This window comes from Homo sapiens, chromosome X (assembly GCF_000001405.40).
Source record: "Homo sapiens chromosome X, GRCh38.p14 Primary Assembly".
Taxonomy (NCBI): domain Eukaryota; kingdom Metazoa; phylum Chordata; class Mammalia; order Primates; family Hominidae; genus Homo; species Homo sapiens.
The window spans coordinates 106,607,924-106,624,211 of NC_000023.11; the positions used below are offsets into that span (position 1 = coordinate 106,607,924).

General features: G+C 36.3%; 1 protein-coding gene across 3 annotated transcripts in view, besides 2 other annotated features; it reads left to right on the plus strand.

Annotated features, from left to right (window-relative positions):
• Positions 4,050-4,239: an enhancer, noted in NCBI's record as "active region_29828". NCBI's record gives its function as "activates an Ori minimal core promoter by ATAC-STARR-seq in GM12878 lymphoblastoid cells {active_cell/tissue: GM12878}" and the evidence as "EXISTENCE:reporter gene assay evidence [ECO:0000049][PMID:35858748]".
• The window catches only part of RADX (RPA1 related single stranded DNA binding protein, X-linked), a 67,462-nt gene continuing 55,228 nt past the window's right edge, over positions 4,055-16,288 (plus strand). For all 3 annotated transcript variants that reach the window (NM_018015.6, NM_001184782.2, XM_047442233.1), the window contains exons 1-2: positions 4,055-4,800; positions 14,728-14,870. In NM_018015.6, coding sequence (NP_060485.4) covers positions 4,158-4,800; positions 14,728-14,870 — 786 coding nt within the window. In that variant the 5' untranslated portion in view covers positions 4,055-4,157. The remainder of the gene's footprint in view (positions 4,801-14,727; positions 14,871-16,288) is intronic.
• Positions 4,280-4,619: an enhancer, noted in NCBI's record as "active region_29829". NCBI's record gives its function as "activates an Ori minimal core promoter by ATAC-STARR-seq in GM12878 lymphoblastoid cells {active_cell/tissue: GM12878}" and the evidence as "EXISTENCE:reporter gene assay evidence [ECO:0000049][PMID:35858748]".

The following is a 16,288-nucleotide window of genomic DNA, read 5'->3' on the forward strand; positions in this document are numbered from 1 at the left end:
ACTTTAATGGTAAATCTGTGTTAAAGACTTCTGTTTACGTGCTTCAAATATATCAATCAAACCTCATTCGACATCTGATAGAAAGATAACATAGGAGCAACCTTGATTCCGATGAGCTATGGGGTATTATAAGCTATACAGATCTATCCTTGTATATAGCGGCAATTTAGTTAATAAAATCATCAAGAGCAGCCTTAAAAGGGAAAGATGTTGGAAAAGGGCAGCACTGCGCTGGAGGTTGTAGTGCTCTCGTTGCCAGGCAGCCACCCTCAGGCCCTCTCTTGTTACCGTGGTGATGTTTGGAGAGCTTACCTAAATACTCTTTGAGATAGCAGCCGAACTCTCCACATCCTTTTAGCACCAACTAGTCATGCCACTTCTTTTCCTTCCTCCCCCACAACTCCACCCACACTCTCATAATCTTATGAATTTGATGAACCTGTATGTGTACCTCCAATGTCCAAGGCTGGAGAATTATGCTAATTTGCCTATCTAGGCAAATGAATGAAAGGACTGTTAAGTGAATGTGATGATAGAAAAAAACAAGGTTCTTCAAACAAAAAAATTGAAATGTTTGGAAGATAATGCAGGATCTGTCCTACCTAACATCAGGGAAAGCCTTATGCTCTGCCACTTATCACACTGTTATCTTGTTCATGTTCATCCCCCTTTCTAGGCCTGAGTTTCTTCATTTATAATAAAAGATAGTTGAGCTATAGAAGTTGTTTTTAAACATTTTGGCCAAACCTATAGTAAGAAATACAGTTTACATCACAACCCAGTATGCACATATACATACATCAAATCTAACACAAAAATTTTACAAAGCAATTCTTACCCTTACTATGTGTGATGTACCCTGATATTTTCTGTGCTGTTATTTTTACGTATTTTTAATTGCTAGTTGTGACCCAATAAATTGACTTCATAGCCTCATTAATGTTTCACAATCCACAGTCTGAAGAACACAACTGTGGGCATCTAATGGCTCCCTATAGTTCTAGCATTCTATCATTTTATGTTATGTCTTTATCTTCCTTTTAGAATAATAGTAACAATAGCTAGTAATTATTGAGCTCTTACTATGTGCCAGGTATTGTTTTAAGCACTTTGCCCATATGAACTAACTTAATTTTTTCAACAACTATGACTACTTTTATTAGTTCAATTTTAAAGATGAAGAAAATCAATGTGGCTTATAGCTGCACCAAATTTAGTGGACAACCAAAATACATTTCATAATGTATTTAAGGTGTTTTGAATATCTTAGAACATTCCATTTTATAAAATTCTGTTTTGCCTACTTTTACCATTTTAAACCCTGGAAGGCACTGTAATAAACCTTCCAGATCTGAGAGGAGAAAAAGATCAATAACCTTAATAATACTCATTACTGGCTTTGAAGGTCATATCCTTTACTTTTTCTATTATTGTGAAATTGATCCTAAAACAGGTGCTTAGTAACGCCAAATCAGAGAGCATTCATACTTTCACAGGTGTGACCACTACTCAAGTAGGCAAATTAATTCTTGGGGAGCTGCACACTATCAGCAGATTGTCAGTAGAGCAATATAAGTCTCCAAATGTGTGCCCACAGTCACCATACATCGTTGTTAGTAGTAGTGTAAAACTAAACATTAGTGCTATTTCTTCCCAATTCCAGTAATTATCCAAATACTAAGCACCACTGCTAATATCCATCTTTCATGAATTAGCTGGAAGGACACAGAATGTGATGAGACAATACTATTAGTCATAAATTTCACTGAGCATATATAGTTTAGGGGCTGCTGATGGAATAGATTTGAAATATTTCAAACACATTCTCCTTTGATAAACAACAGAGATAGTCGACATTTAATGACCCCTACAGTAAATGCAATACAAATCCATAATTTCATTTATTCATTCAACAAAACTATTGAGTACCTACTATATGCTAGATACTTATTTTGCCACTGGAGATTCTGCAGTTTACATAACAAAGTACCTACACTCAGGCAACTTATTTTATGTTTGGTAAATTTGGATTTTTGTATATTGCATTTGTTTGTTTATGGAAAGCCACACTTGTATATTCCCTTTGGTAGAGAGGCACTGGGAATTATATGTTTTACTTATTTAAAATATTTGAGTGCCTTTTATGCATAGCAGTAGTGAAAGAACAAATCAGTTTCTGCTTTCGAAAAGTTTAAGATCTAGTTAATGCAGATCATAATCGGGTGTTCCAACTTGTAGCGACTTTGCTACCCCAGGGGACATTTGGCAATGTCTGGAGATATTTCTGGTTCTCACAACTGGAGGGGGAGGTGCTACAGGTATCTAATGGGTAGAGGCCAGAGATGCTGCTAAGCATCCTACAGTGCACAAGACAGCCCACAACAAAAAACTTTCTGGCCCAAAGAATCAAGAGTGCCCATGTTGAGAAACTCTGAGTTACGCATACATTAAGTTTTTTTTTTTTAACTGCAAGTATTAGATGATAAGTATCAAATGAGTGATACAAGGTGATACAGAGAAGAGAAAGATTATCCTAGACTGAATTGGTGAGGGGAGGCATCATGAAGGAAGTGGGGTTCAAGACTAAGTGTCATGTCACTCCTTTGCTCATAATAGAAGAAACCCTGCTACCTCTCTGACCTCACCTCCTACCACTCTCCCCCTCGCCCCTCCACTGCGGCTGATTGGCTTATGCATTTCCTTGAAAATATCAAGTATGCTTCTGTCTCATGGAATTTATTCTTCTTGTTTTCTCTGATTCAAGTGCCATTCCCCTAGATATCCACATAGCTCACTTCCTCACTTCCTGCACATCTCTGTTCTGTTCAGTCTCTTACTAGAGAACCTTTCTGTAATCATACTTTTTATAAAATATTAACTCCTGTTCCCTCCACTTTATTTCCCCTTACTATGTTTTTTGGTCTCCCTAGCAAGGCTATACCCTGCCCAGACCAGACACTCAAGAAATCTGTATAGAATGAGTAAATTAGTTAAGTATTAATAACGGCAGGGCTCTTTAGCCCAAGCAATGAGAAGAAACTTGAGGGAAGGACCCTGACTACAGTTATCCCCAGTGGCCTAAAACAGTGCCTACCTCATATAGAGACTTCATAAATAGTGAATAAAGAATGATAAAATAGAGAGCCAAAGGAAATTAGTATAAACAAAATCAGCTCATAACCATCTTAAAAAGTATTCTTAGAACAATTACTCCCTTCTATGTATACTGGATCTAAGTACATCTATTAAATATTTTATCCTTAATTTTTACTATTCTTATCAGCTTTTTCACTTTACATTCGTTCCTGATATATGCCTTGCATTAAACAAACAAACATTAAACAAAGTTTCTGAAATCTCTACCCTAGATGTATATTAGGCCAGGTATTATATTAAAACTAGCTGCATTTTAAGAAGTCTAATCTAAAGGCAGCCCTTTACAAGCCAGTTCTAGTTTTCTATTTTCATTTGCACTTAAACACTAATTCACCCACCCTACACTCAGGGAGCCACTACAGATAATTATGCTAATGCTAATCGCAATAGCAGCTAATGTTTACTGAGGACTTTTTGTGCTAGAGTCTGTCCTGGAGGCTCTGCATAAATTATCTGGTTTTGTTCATACTACAGGAAACCCATGTTATAACATTAACATATGTTAACCAACTCTAAATTACTTTCTGTTCCTGGCCCAAAGCCCAAACCCCCAAATCCCTGAGCTTTGACTCTGCACCCTGATTCTTGCCACTTTCTCTTTTCCCTTGCCTCTAGGCATCCTCCTTTCCAGGGGACCACAAGCGCTCTCCCCCTCCCTCTTTGAGAACCATGACAACCACCGATTCCCCCTCCCCTTCCCCTGTCATCCCTCCCCCAGACGGCAACCCGGCGGGCACAAGGTCGGACGACCTGCTACGTAACTCGCGCGTGTGACTGCCTAGTAACAGTGTCTCGAGTCGGAAGCGCTCGGAGCGAGGGGCGGGGTGGGAGAGCTGGCGCGCGCACGCGTAAAGTCTTTGCAGCCTCGCTACGGGGCGGAGTCTTGCCTGTCAGCAGGGGCAGAGTAGCGATCGTCGCCAAAGCGCGCGGTTTTATTTCTCTCCGCTTTGGACGGGGCAAACTAGCTTTTGGGAGTGAAGCGGGTACGCAGTTATCCAACAATGTCTGGTGAGTCAGGACAGCCTGAGGCTGGTCCCTCACATGCAGGGCTAGATTGGCCGAACCCTGAGAGGAATCGGGCTGGGGTCCCGGGAGGGGTGATCCGAAGAGCTGGTTCCCAAGGGCCCAGGTCCTGGATCCAAAAGGTTCTTGAGCAGATTATGGACTCACCTCGCCAGTGTGTCACCCCCTCGGAGGTGGTGCCTGTAACTGTGCTGGCCGTCCAGAGGTACCTGTTAGAGGATGAGCCACGCGACACGGTGCCCAAGCCTCCCCTTTATTGCTATGATGTGACGATCTCAGATGGGGTGTACCAGGAGAAGTGCTACCTGGACCCCAGCTTGAACTCTCTCGTATATCAAAATATTCTTAAAGTTGGCATTCAAATGAGAATTTCCAGGGTCTCATGTCTTTACAATGAGAAAAGGATAGGCCAGGGGATCCTGTGCATAGATAACGTCCACTGTGGGGAGACTTCAGACAGTATTTCTTTAGAAACTCCCTTCAGAAATAGAGCGCACCAGGAGAAACCAGAGAGGCCTTTAAGAGGCGGGAAGAGTCATTACCTGGCGCTGTGGAATAACGAAGATCCCTATGGAGATATCTGGTTAACAGACAAGCAACCTGAGGAACACAACTTTAGCGGTAAGTGTTTGGAAAGAACGGCAGAGGGTTTTAAAAAAAATAGTTTTCAGGAGCTTGCGTGAACGGGAAAGGAAATGAAAATGCTTTTGTATTGTTAATTACAAGCCAGGAGTGGTAGGTAGACAAGTTTTCTTAAATGACCAAGGGATGCTCAATGAAATTTGCACAGCCAGTGGTTTTTGTTGGTGTTTTTTGTTTGTTTGTTTCTTTGATTGCAAAAGTGGCCAATTCAGGAAGTGTGTTTGACTACATCTTAAAATTCAGTCTGGCAAACGTACTGATGTGGGAGTCAGTATTCCTCATACGTTCGTTACATGTTTGATTGTGGTGGAATTAATCTTAGTTTTATTCCCAATCCAGTTGTGGAAATAGTACGTTGTGTCGGTTGAAGAGCTTATAGATTTGAATTTAGCATAAAGGTTGTAAAAATTTGCGGGTTTGCATGTTTTAATCTTCATTCAAAAAGGATGCTCCGTGATGTATTCCTTAATACTTTACATTGATTGAAACGCCGTGTAACAGTTATGTAAATATCACCTTTTAACGGTGTGATTTTTATGGGAAGGCTTGACATTCTCATTTTCTTGTTTCTTATTACTCACCACAAAGAGTACTGATCTGGGAACTTCAATTTTTCTGTATCAGAAGTAGGAAGTTAGCTTGAAAACACTAGCTTGCCATCAGCAACTGCTCTAAAATACGTTTTTTTTCTCTAACAGATGAAATTAAGGGGAATGATAGTACTGTAGGCATGAACACGTTTGAAATGGGGAAAGAAATAAAATGCAAAAAATAAAATAAGAGAAAGTACTGGAAGGAGAAAGACTATAATTTTCTACATTACTGCTTTTCAGTCCCTTTTACAATGTTGTCACAATGCTAAATCACGGATAATCTTACTGTGACGTGTAAGAGCAACAAACTTGAAAGTAAAAGAATAACTAGCTCAAAAACCATGCAATTATAGTCACATCCAGTTGTAAGGAAAAAAGATGTTATAGAAATGTGTAGGTAAGGATATTTTAAATAACTAAATTTTAAAAAGCAAGATAGCTATTTCAGGGATGAAAAAATGGAGTGATTTTATCTCAAGTGTGAAATAAGGCAGTAGTGCATTACTACTCTAAATGTTGATCACTTTAATTTTTAGAATTGAATATGTAAATGAAAAACTGGTGCCCTACAAGAAAAGTTGAGGGGATTAATACTTTGTAAAATGTATTTTGTCGTAATATCTATTCATTCATTAAAACCATATTTATAATACAAAAGGCAATGTCTGTATGCCAAAATAAAACCCAATCTGTATATTTGAAAGTATATTGTGTTAGAAATATACCACCAAAGTATAGTAAAATGTTAGTGATAAAATCTAGGAAGTGGGCATATTGATGTTCACTGTAAAATTTATTCAGTTTTGCTATATGTTTCAAATTGTTAATAATAAAATATTAGGGAGAAGTGAAAGACCTCTTTCACCTTCCCTAGTGCCTTCACCTTTCTTCTAAAAATCTCAAATTGTCAGCAGTTTGTTGTGTATTTTTTTAAAAAAAAGGAATTAATGTCGCATTGTGTGATTTGCTATTTCCACTGAACACATCTCAGGCATCTTTCATGTACATCTGTACATACAATATTCCATAGCATGGGTGTGCCATAATTTCTATAATCATGCCCATGTGAATAGGTAATTTGTAGTTTTAGGCACTTATTAGTGTTTTAGTATTACATACAATGATAAGCATCATTAGAATGTACACATATTTTTGTTTACTATGTTCAAGCATTGCTGTTGAACGGCTTCCTCTGGCGAAATTGCTGGCTTAAAAGGTATTTAATTTTTTTAATTTTGTGGATATAGACAGATCATCTTCTGAAAAGGTTGTACTAATTTACATTTACCAACATACATATGAGAATGCCCATTTCCCCATATCTTACTATTTTTAAATACATCTTTTGACATTTTTCTAATTAATTTATAGGATTCCTTTGCTAATGGGTATTAAAATTTTGTCTGCTATATACTGCAAATTATTTTCTTTCATTCTGTTCTTTTTCTCTTAACTTTGTTTATGGCACACGTTTGTGCTTTTGAAACTTTTCATTAAAGTTTACCTTGTACACAGTAAAAAAAAAAGGTTTTAAAAATACAGCTTGATAAATTTTCACGTACATATACCTGTGTAACCATCACCCCCCTCCCTTTAAGATATAGAACATTTCTGTATCTTGTTACCCCAAAAGTCTCCCTCATGCCTCCTCCTGGTCAGTACCCTATCTGAAGGGTAACACATATTGTAACCTCAAATATAGCTTTTAAAAATAGAAGTTAGCCTGTGCCACACCCTCCTGCCTAAATCTCTCAGGTGGCTCCCATTGCATTTAGGCAGCAACCCAAACTCTACCGGGGTCTGGAAGGCAGGCCGTACTGCGGAGGATGGCGAACTTTCAGTAAAGAGCCAAACAGTAAATCTTTTTGTCTTTCCAGACATGATCTCTGTCACAACCATTCACTTTTGCCATTGTATATGGAAAGCAGCCACAAGCGGTATGTAAATGAATGGGTCTGGCCGTGTTGCAATAGAACTTCATTTACAAAAACAAGCAACAGGCAAGATTTGGCTTGTGGGCTGTATAATTTGCTGACCCCTGCCCTACAGAATCCCTTACTCACCTCTCGAATCTCTAACCCCCCTCCTCCACCATTTTGTTCTAGCAACCAGCCTTCTTTTTGATCCTCAAACCTCCAGTCTTTTTCCTGCACTTGCTTTTTCCTCTTTCTGGAAAGTTTCTTCCCATCTTCCAGTTTCAGCTCAAATAAAAACATTTTAAAAGTGCCTTTTAAATAAATATTTCCTCCCCCATTTATTCTTATTATACCACCTTGCAAATGATCTTCATAGAATCATAGCATTCTGAAATTATTTTCTTTAGCTGTTTTTCTTTCCTCTCTTACATTTTTATAAGATCCACAACTCTTTTTTTTTTTCATTTCTGTGGGCCATATCTTACAGCTAGAACAATGACTGGCACATAGTAGGCATTCAGTATTTGTTGAATAAAAGAATGAATGAAATAAATTGATGTTTTTACTAATGTTGAGCCACTTTTGAATTCCCACTTGGTCACGATTATTTTTACATCTGTCTAAGTGAATTTGGTCTACAGATTTGGTTTTTATTTTTGTTTTTTGCAGGGAGAGTACTTTTTCAATGCAATTTTTATATGGCGTTAATATTAGCCTAGTGGAATGAGTTGGAAAGCTTGCCCGTCTTTCTGTACTTACAGAAATTATATGTTCCTTAAAGACTTAGTAAAATTCCTCTCTAAAACTATCTGAACCTGTTGTCTTGGGCCTGGATTGGGGGTTGTGGGGGGATGCCTCTTTTTCAATTTCTTTTAGAAAAAGTGATTAAACCAATAATGCTTTTTCAAGAGCCCATTTCTGAGAGTTGGTAATTCACTAGGAAAACTCATTTCACCTAGATCTCAAAGTTGTACGTAGTAATCTATGTTTTTTGACCTATCTTGTCAATCATGACTCTTTTCACAATCCTCATGTTTGTGTGTTCACCTTTTCTTATGGTGAGCCTTGCCAGAAGTTTATTAGTCTTATTGTTGGTGTTTTTTAAGACACTTGGTTTTACTAATAACAAAATCTATAATGAGGAGATGTTTTCTACTTAATTTCTGCTATTATCTTTAATTTCTTTTACGTACTTCCTTTGTTCATATTTTTCTTGTACTACTTTCTTGAGTTAAATGCTTGGTTCATATATTTCCTTGTTTATTTCTTCCAAAAGCATTTAAAATTCTGAAATTTCCCATGGATATTGCTTAGGCTGCATCCCCCAGGTTTGGAAGTATAGAGATTTTATTGTTACTCGTTATTTATATTTTCTTATTTTATCTTGTTTTATTTTGTATTTATGCATTATTGAATTATTGTAATCACTTTTGAAATAATTACACTCCAACCCAATGGTTTTTCTTTAGTGTTTTCCATCTTTCAAATCCATTAAAAAAATGACAAAGCTGATTTAAACAACCATGTCGGAAACTAGATGTTGTGATAACTTAATGTGCATCAATTCATTTTGATTATATACTTTCATTACCGTCCTGTATTCTATTTAGCCTTTTGGAGTCTAAATTTCACTGATATTTTCACTTTTGGGGGTCTTCTCTGCCATTTCAAGTGATAATTTTACAGAGATGGTAATATCTTTAAACCCCTCTCTTTTATTTTCTTGGCTTGCAATTGGCATTTCTTTGTTTTTTTTGTGTGTGTGGGTTTTTTTTTTTTTTTTTTTTTTTTGACAGAGTCTCATTCTGTTTCCCAGGCTGGATCACTGGCGTGATCTCGGCTCACTGCAACCTTCGCCTCCCGGGTTCTCCAGCAGCGATTCTCCTGCTTCAGCCACCTGAGTAGCTGGGACTACAGGCACACCACCACACCTGGCTAACTTTTGTATTTTCAATAGAGACGGGGTTTCACCATGTTGGCCAGGCTGGTCTCAAACTCCTGACCTCAGGTGATCCACCCACCTCAGCTTCCCAAAGTGCTGGGATTACAGCCGTGAGCCACTGTGCCCGGCTCTTTTTTGCTTCTTTAATCTCTGAAAGTTCAGAAAAAGCTTATTTATTAGGTTTAAAGTTTATTATTATACCAGGTTTTTAAAAATGTAATTCACATATTCCAGATCCTTATTTTTAATCTACTTTATTTGCCCATTTCTCAGAGGAATATTGGCTTCTCTCTATGATGATAGTTGCATTTATTTCTCCTTATATTTCTAAAAGGTTTTGCTTTAGATGTTACTATAACGTGTGCAATTTCATAACTGATTAATGTATTATTGTTGAGTTTTACACTTTATCAATATGGAATTTGCCTCTTTGTACCTTTTGCCTTGAATTCTATTTTCCCTAATAGTAATGTTTGCCACTTCCACAGTCTTTTTGGTAGCATATTAGGACAATGATACTCAAATGTGAGTAGGCATGCATATCACCTCAAGAGTGCCAGTCAGAAAAATAACTTAAGTGCTTCCTTACTCTAAGAATTCACAAATAATATCAAGAAACACTGCAAAAAAATGGATGGGGCAAAAATGAGCAATGGGAATTGGAGACAAATAAGCATCCCGGTGCTAACAAGTTCAAATTACACTTACAAAAATCAGAGAAAAAAAATTTATGCAGAAAAAAAGATTTGGAAAAGGTTGCAAAGATAAAGAATACACCAAAACTTAAAGAAATTATTAAGGCAGTATGTTTCAAATGTTGAAGCAAAAAAGAAATGCCAATTGCATGCCATGAAAATAAAAGAGAGGGGTTTAAAGATATTACCGTCTCAGTAAAATTCTCACTTGAAATGTCAAAGAAGACCCCAAAAAGCTAAACAGAATACATGAAAGTCATGAAAGCATATAATCAAAATGAATTGATGCACAATAAGTTATCACAACATCTAGTTTCCAACATGATTGTTTAAATCAGTTTTGTCGTTTTTTTTAATGGATTTGAAAGACGGAAAACAGTAAAGAAAGGCCGTTAGGCTGGAGTGTAATTATTTAAAAAATGACTACAGTAATTCAGTAATGCAAAAATACAGAAATAAAACAAAATACAGATTGCTGACCACCATTCCCAGTGTATGATTCATTAGGTCTGGGGTAGGGCCCTAGAATTTACATTTCGAACATGTTCACTGATGGTAACAATGCTATTGGTACAGAGACCACACTTTGAGAACCACTGGCAAGCCGGTCACGGTGGCTCATGCCTGTAATCCTAGCATTTTGGGAGACCACGGCGAGCGGATTGCTTGAGTTCAGAGTCCATGTTGAGACCAGCCTAGGTCCAGACCAGCCTAGACCAGCCGAGGCAACATGGCGAAACCCCATCTTTAATAAAAATACCTTAGCCGGGGCATGAATTTGTGCCTGTAATCCCGGCTACTTGGTGCAGGGGTGGAGTCGGGGGAGCCTGAGTCCGGGAGGTTGAGGCTGCACTGAGCCTTGATCATGCCACTGCACTCCAGCCTGGACCAAAAGAGTGAGACCTTGTCTCAAAAAATAAAAAAAGAGAACCACTGGCCTTAGTGTATGCTTGTCCATCCCTTTATTTCCATTTTGTTTTAGGGTTGTCTCTTTTAAAAAGTATATAGCTAAGACTGCCTTTTGATCCAAACCAATTATTTTTCTTTTAAGAGATCAATTTAATTTATCTAAATTTAATGTGAATAATGGTGTTTGTACCTGTTCTTGAAATTCTACTTTATGTTTACCATATGCCACCTTATTTTTTTTTTTTACTTTTGCGGGATTAAAATTTTCTTTTTCTTCTAGTAGTTTGGAAATCATACATTGTATTTGTATTCTCCTAGTCTCCTAGTTGTTACTGAATGTTTTTTTAAAAAATTTTATGGGTACATAGTAGGTGTAGATATATATGGGGTACATGTATTAATGTTTTAACAAAATTATTTAAACTTACATTTCTGTTTCCGTCTCCAGAATTATTCAAAATATATAATACACCCCTACTGAATAAGAGAAGATATTTAGGACTCCACTTGATCATGGCACAGTTGTCTTTGTGCATGCTTCTAAATAAGTATTGTATTTAGGGTTTTTGCCATCATAACTGATTTTTGGTTTATAGTTTTCTTTCTTGTACTATTTCTGTTGGAATTTTTCAGGATTGTTCTAAGTTTATAAAGCAAAGTGGTACAATTTCTATACTTTATTAGGCTCTGGGACAATTTATAGCTCAGGGAAAGAGCTGTTCTTTGAAATTTGTTAGAATTTTCTTATAAAACAATGTGAACCTGCTGCCAGTTTTGGAAGCCATCATTCATAAACTTTTTTCATTTTCTTCCACGGTTAAGGACCTAGTTTGGTTTTCTTTTGCTTCTTATGGCAATAATGGTAATTCATATTTTTCTAAGAAATTATCTATTTCACTGATCTTTTCAAATTTATTGATATAAAATCATACATAATAATCTTTTAACAATTTTTATTTGTGTGTATATTTGTTTACATTCTGAGTATTACATTTTTGTTTTCTTTTTCATGATTAGACTTGCCAAAGATTTACCTTTTTATTAATTTTTCCAGAGAATTGAATTTATCAATTCTATTTTTTATTGTGGTATAGTGTTTTCTGATTCATTATTTTTAGCTTTAATTTTTATTCCTTCTGCATTCCTTAGATTTATTCTTCTGCTATGATTTTTACGGTATGGTCCAGGGACCTCTAGTGGTGCCCCAAGACATTTTCAGAGGATTCATGAGGTCAAAGCTATTTTCACAATACTAAGGCTTTACTTACCTTTTTTCACTCTTATGCTCTCGCAAGTGTACAGTGTAGTTTTCCAGGGGCTAAATGACGTGTGACATAAAAGCAAACTGAGTATCAAAGAAGATATGAATATCCACCTGTCATTTATTAAGCTAGATACTAACAAGATTTGCAGAAATGCAAAACAATGCCACGCTTCTCACTACATTATTTTTTGGTTTTGGAAAATATAGTCATTTTTCAAAAAAAATGTTATTTATAATTATACATATCAGTTTATTATTGCTATTTTTAATGAATTGATCATTTAAAAAATTCTTAGTCTACTTTATAGTACAGTAAAAAGCTCTTCAGGATGGGCACGGTGGCTCACGCTTGTAATCTCAGCACTTTGGGAGTCTGAGGCAGGCGGATCACTTGAGGTCAGGAGTTCGAGACCAGCCTGGCCAACATGGTGAAACCCCGTCTCTACTAAAAAATACAAAAGTTAGCCGGGCATTGTGGTGCATGCTTATAGTCCCAGCTACTCAGGAGGCTGAGGCAGGAGAATCACTTAAACCCGGGAGGTGGAGGTTGCAGTGACCTGAGATCACACCACAGCACTCCAGCCTGAGCAACAGAGTGAGACTCCATCTTAACAAAAGAAAAAAAAATAGCTCTTCAAGATCTTCAATAATTTTTAAGAATGTATAGGGATCCTGAGACCAAAACATTTTGAGAATCACTGTTCTATTGCATATTGAATAACCAGTTTATTTTCATTATTTCTTTTTTGATAATGAACACATTTATTACTATGAATTTACACAAATTCTTCATTGTCTGTAAACAGCCTCTAATTCTTTTTTAGATTTGAGAGATAAAATGTGTATTCCATGAAGTTTGTGAGTTAAAAACTCTAACTGGGAAAAATGTTAACCAGAAAGATGTCTGATTACAGCTAACTCTCTGGACCTAATTATAACAGAAACAGAGGCTCTTAGAACTCTGCTTTTACAAAACTATGTAGCTCTTGAATTTATTCCAGACAATAAAGGAGCTCTATGTGCCTTTATTGATCAAGAATGTTCCATGTACATCCCAGACAACTCAAAGCTGATCTGAGATTCGTCTGACGTTAAAATGAAATCACTTAATTATATCAGATCAAATGTTAGGACCTGTGATCCTGGGATAGTAATCTATTGGGAGAATCTGGAAGGAAAATTACAGAGTATCCTAATACTAAAAATTGTGTGTGTTTTATAGTATAGACATAATTATATAATACCACTTAATCCCTTATTAAAAAGAAATTACAAGTGTGATTTTTGTGTCAAAAATGTTGACTAGGTAAAAAATTATTTGAACAAAGCTAGAAATGAAGGGACCCTTAGCAAAAGAAATACTCGTACTAATGCAGATTCAAGTCTTAATAGTTGAAACTGTGGGCTGTGAGAGAGAAAAATGTGGAGACAATTGCAGGTGGAACCTCTCTTAATCCAAGGAAGAATACATCAGTATTACAAATTAATTCTTTAAGTTGATGAATAGCTTTTTAGCAGTTTTTGAACTTGCCAGCAAGCTTGCAGATAAAAACATTTCTAAGTAAATTATATGGCATATGAGAAGATAGTAAGTGCAATGTAGAAAAGTAAAGTGGAATGGAGGATAAGTAAAGGGGTCAGTTTTTAATAGGATGGTTAGGGATAATATCACTGAGAAGGTGATATTTGAGCAAAACTTGAAGAGAGGAGGGAGAAAGTCATTTGGATATATAAAGGGAAGACAGCAATTGCAAAGGTCCTGATACAGGGCCATGTCTGTCATGTTTGCGGGAGATAGAATTTATACATATGAAACTGAGGTGAAGGCAATACAAAAAATGTGTAATAAAACAATTCTATGGTTTTTTTTTTTTTTTTTTTGAGACAGGCTCTCAATTGCTCAGGCTGGAATGCAGTGGTGTGATCATGGTTCACTGCAGCCTGGCTGCAGTGAGCTCAGCTGCCTGGGCTCAGGTGATCCTCCCACTTCAGCCTCTTGAGTAGCTGGAGCTATAGGCACATGCCACCAGGCCCAGCTAATTTTTGTCTTTTTGGAGAGACATGGGGGTTTTGCCATGTTGCCCAGGCTGGTCTCAAACTCCTCGGCACAAGCAAGCTGATGGTCTTGCCCTCCTGAAGTGCTCAGATTATAGGCATTAGCCACTGCACCTGGCCCATTTCTATAAATTAAATATATAAGTGCTTAGTAATGGGAAAAATATTCCATGACATTGAGGTTTTTTTTTTCACAAAATATCTTAAGGGAGGTGAGTTTAAATCCAGGTTTTCCAGGAAGTTATTAAATGGTTTGGTAAGATGGAGGGCATTCTAGGTGGGACAATGTGTTGGTTAATATAGGTGTTTACCTATGTTCCAGGCACATAGTAAGCCCTATATATATTTCAGCTGTTAATATTAGGGATCAAATGTAGTTTATGAGAGGTAATAGACTTAGCTGGCAAGGTTTAGCTGGCAAGAAGGAGTCACTTTAGGTATGATCAAGCTACTATTTTTAACCATTAAAATAGATCTTTGAAGTTACCATTACATGTTAAACAGGATTTCTTTCCTCTTTTTTATATTCTAGATACCAAAATAATTTCCCTTTCTCATCTTGAAATGACCTGGACTAACAGAAGAAATTTTCCTGCATTGCTTGTGAGGATCTTACATAAATCAAAACTGCGATACTATGGAAAACCTGATAAAAAGATGATTGAACCATATCAGGTACAAGTAATAAGATATCATATGTTAATTTAAAAGTTATAAATTATAGCTTACACACCTCACTCCATAGTATGATAACCTGTTCGTTTAAATAACATTTCATAAGTTCAATGTAATAATTTTTAAATGTACGTAAATGTATATTATAAAGTATTTTTCTGCATAATTTATTGTACAAAAAGAAATTATTTCTGTATTGGTGCCCTTTATTTCCCTGATCCAGGTGGTCTCCTTCCCACCTTTTTATTTTCCTTCAACCTTTTCTTCTCACCTATGCTTTCTGTGCCAATATATAAACATACTCTAGTCTCCCATTTAAAAAAAGAAAAGAAAAGAATCTCCTTTGGCCTTATGACTCTTCTATTCCCTATCTTTCTCTTCAGGTAAGCTTCTTGAAGAAGTAGTCTACACTAGATGTTTTTACTTTCTTGCCTCCCATTTCTCAACACAGTTAGCTTGGCTTTTTTCCTTAGCTTATCATTCACTAGTAACTCTAATTGTCAAATCTGTGTGATACTTCTCTATTGTCTTGACTCTCTGTGCCATATAATGCTCATGAGCTCTACTTTCTTGATATGTTTGTGTTCTATTTTTTTCTTACTTAATATTATATTGTACTTTCCCATGATATCAAGAACTATTTTAGATGTTTCATTAAACTTTTATTATGAAAGTTATACATGCTTATTGTAGGGAATTTGGAAAATGTAGAAAGCTGTTTGAAGATCTTACCACTCAGAGAGAGCCACTGTTAACATGGTGTGTTTTATTCCCTTTCTTGTGTGTGTAAATCACATATATACACATATACAAGCATATCATATATATATATACATACACATATCTATGATATTTAATCATATATATCACATATATGTGCATATGTAGATGTATTATATATTTCATGTGAGTGTGTATATCATATATCACATTACATTATTTTACAAAATGGGAACCATATTGTGCATACAATTTTGTGTCGTTTAACATTTTCTTAAATATTTTCTCATATCACTAAAAATTCTTCATCCATAATACTTTACAGTTATATATTTTTAGCACATTCTATCATAAATTATTCAGTCATTCCCCGATAGTTTTTTGCCTTCTCATTGTTGCAATACTTTCCTCCCTGATTTTTTAACTCCGCTTATTTGTTGCCTTCCTACCTCTTTGTGCCTCCATCATTTCGCCCTTGCTTGCCTCTCCAGTCTCATCTCTTCCTGAGCTCTCTATGCTTCATACTAACCAAATTGCCCTACCTGGAATGTTCTAACAGTAACCAATTGTTTTCTACCTTTCATACCTCTGCTCACGTTGTTTCTTCTGCCTAGAATCCTCTTCCTCTCACTTCTCATCAGATTGGCAAAGCCATCTTTAAGATTCAGTTCAGTGCTTACCTCTGATTTAAGTCTTTC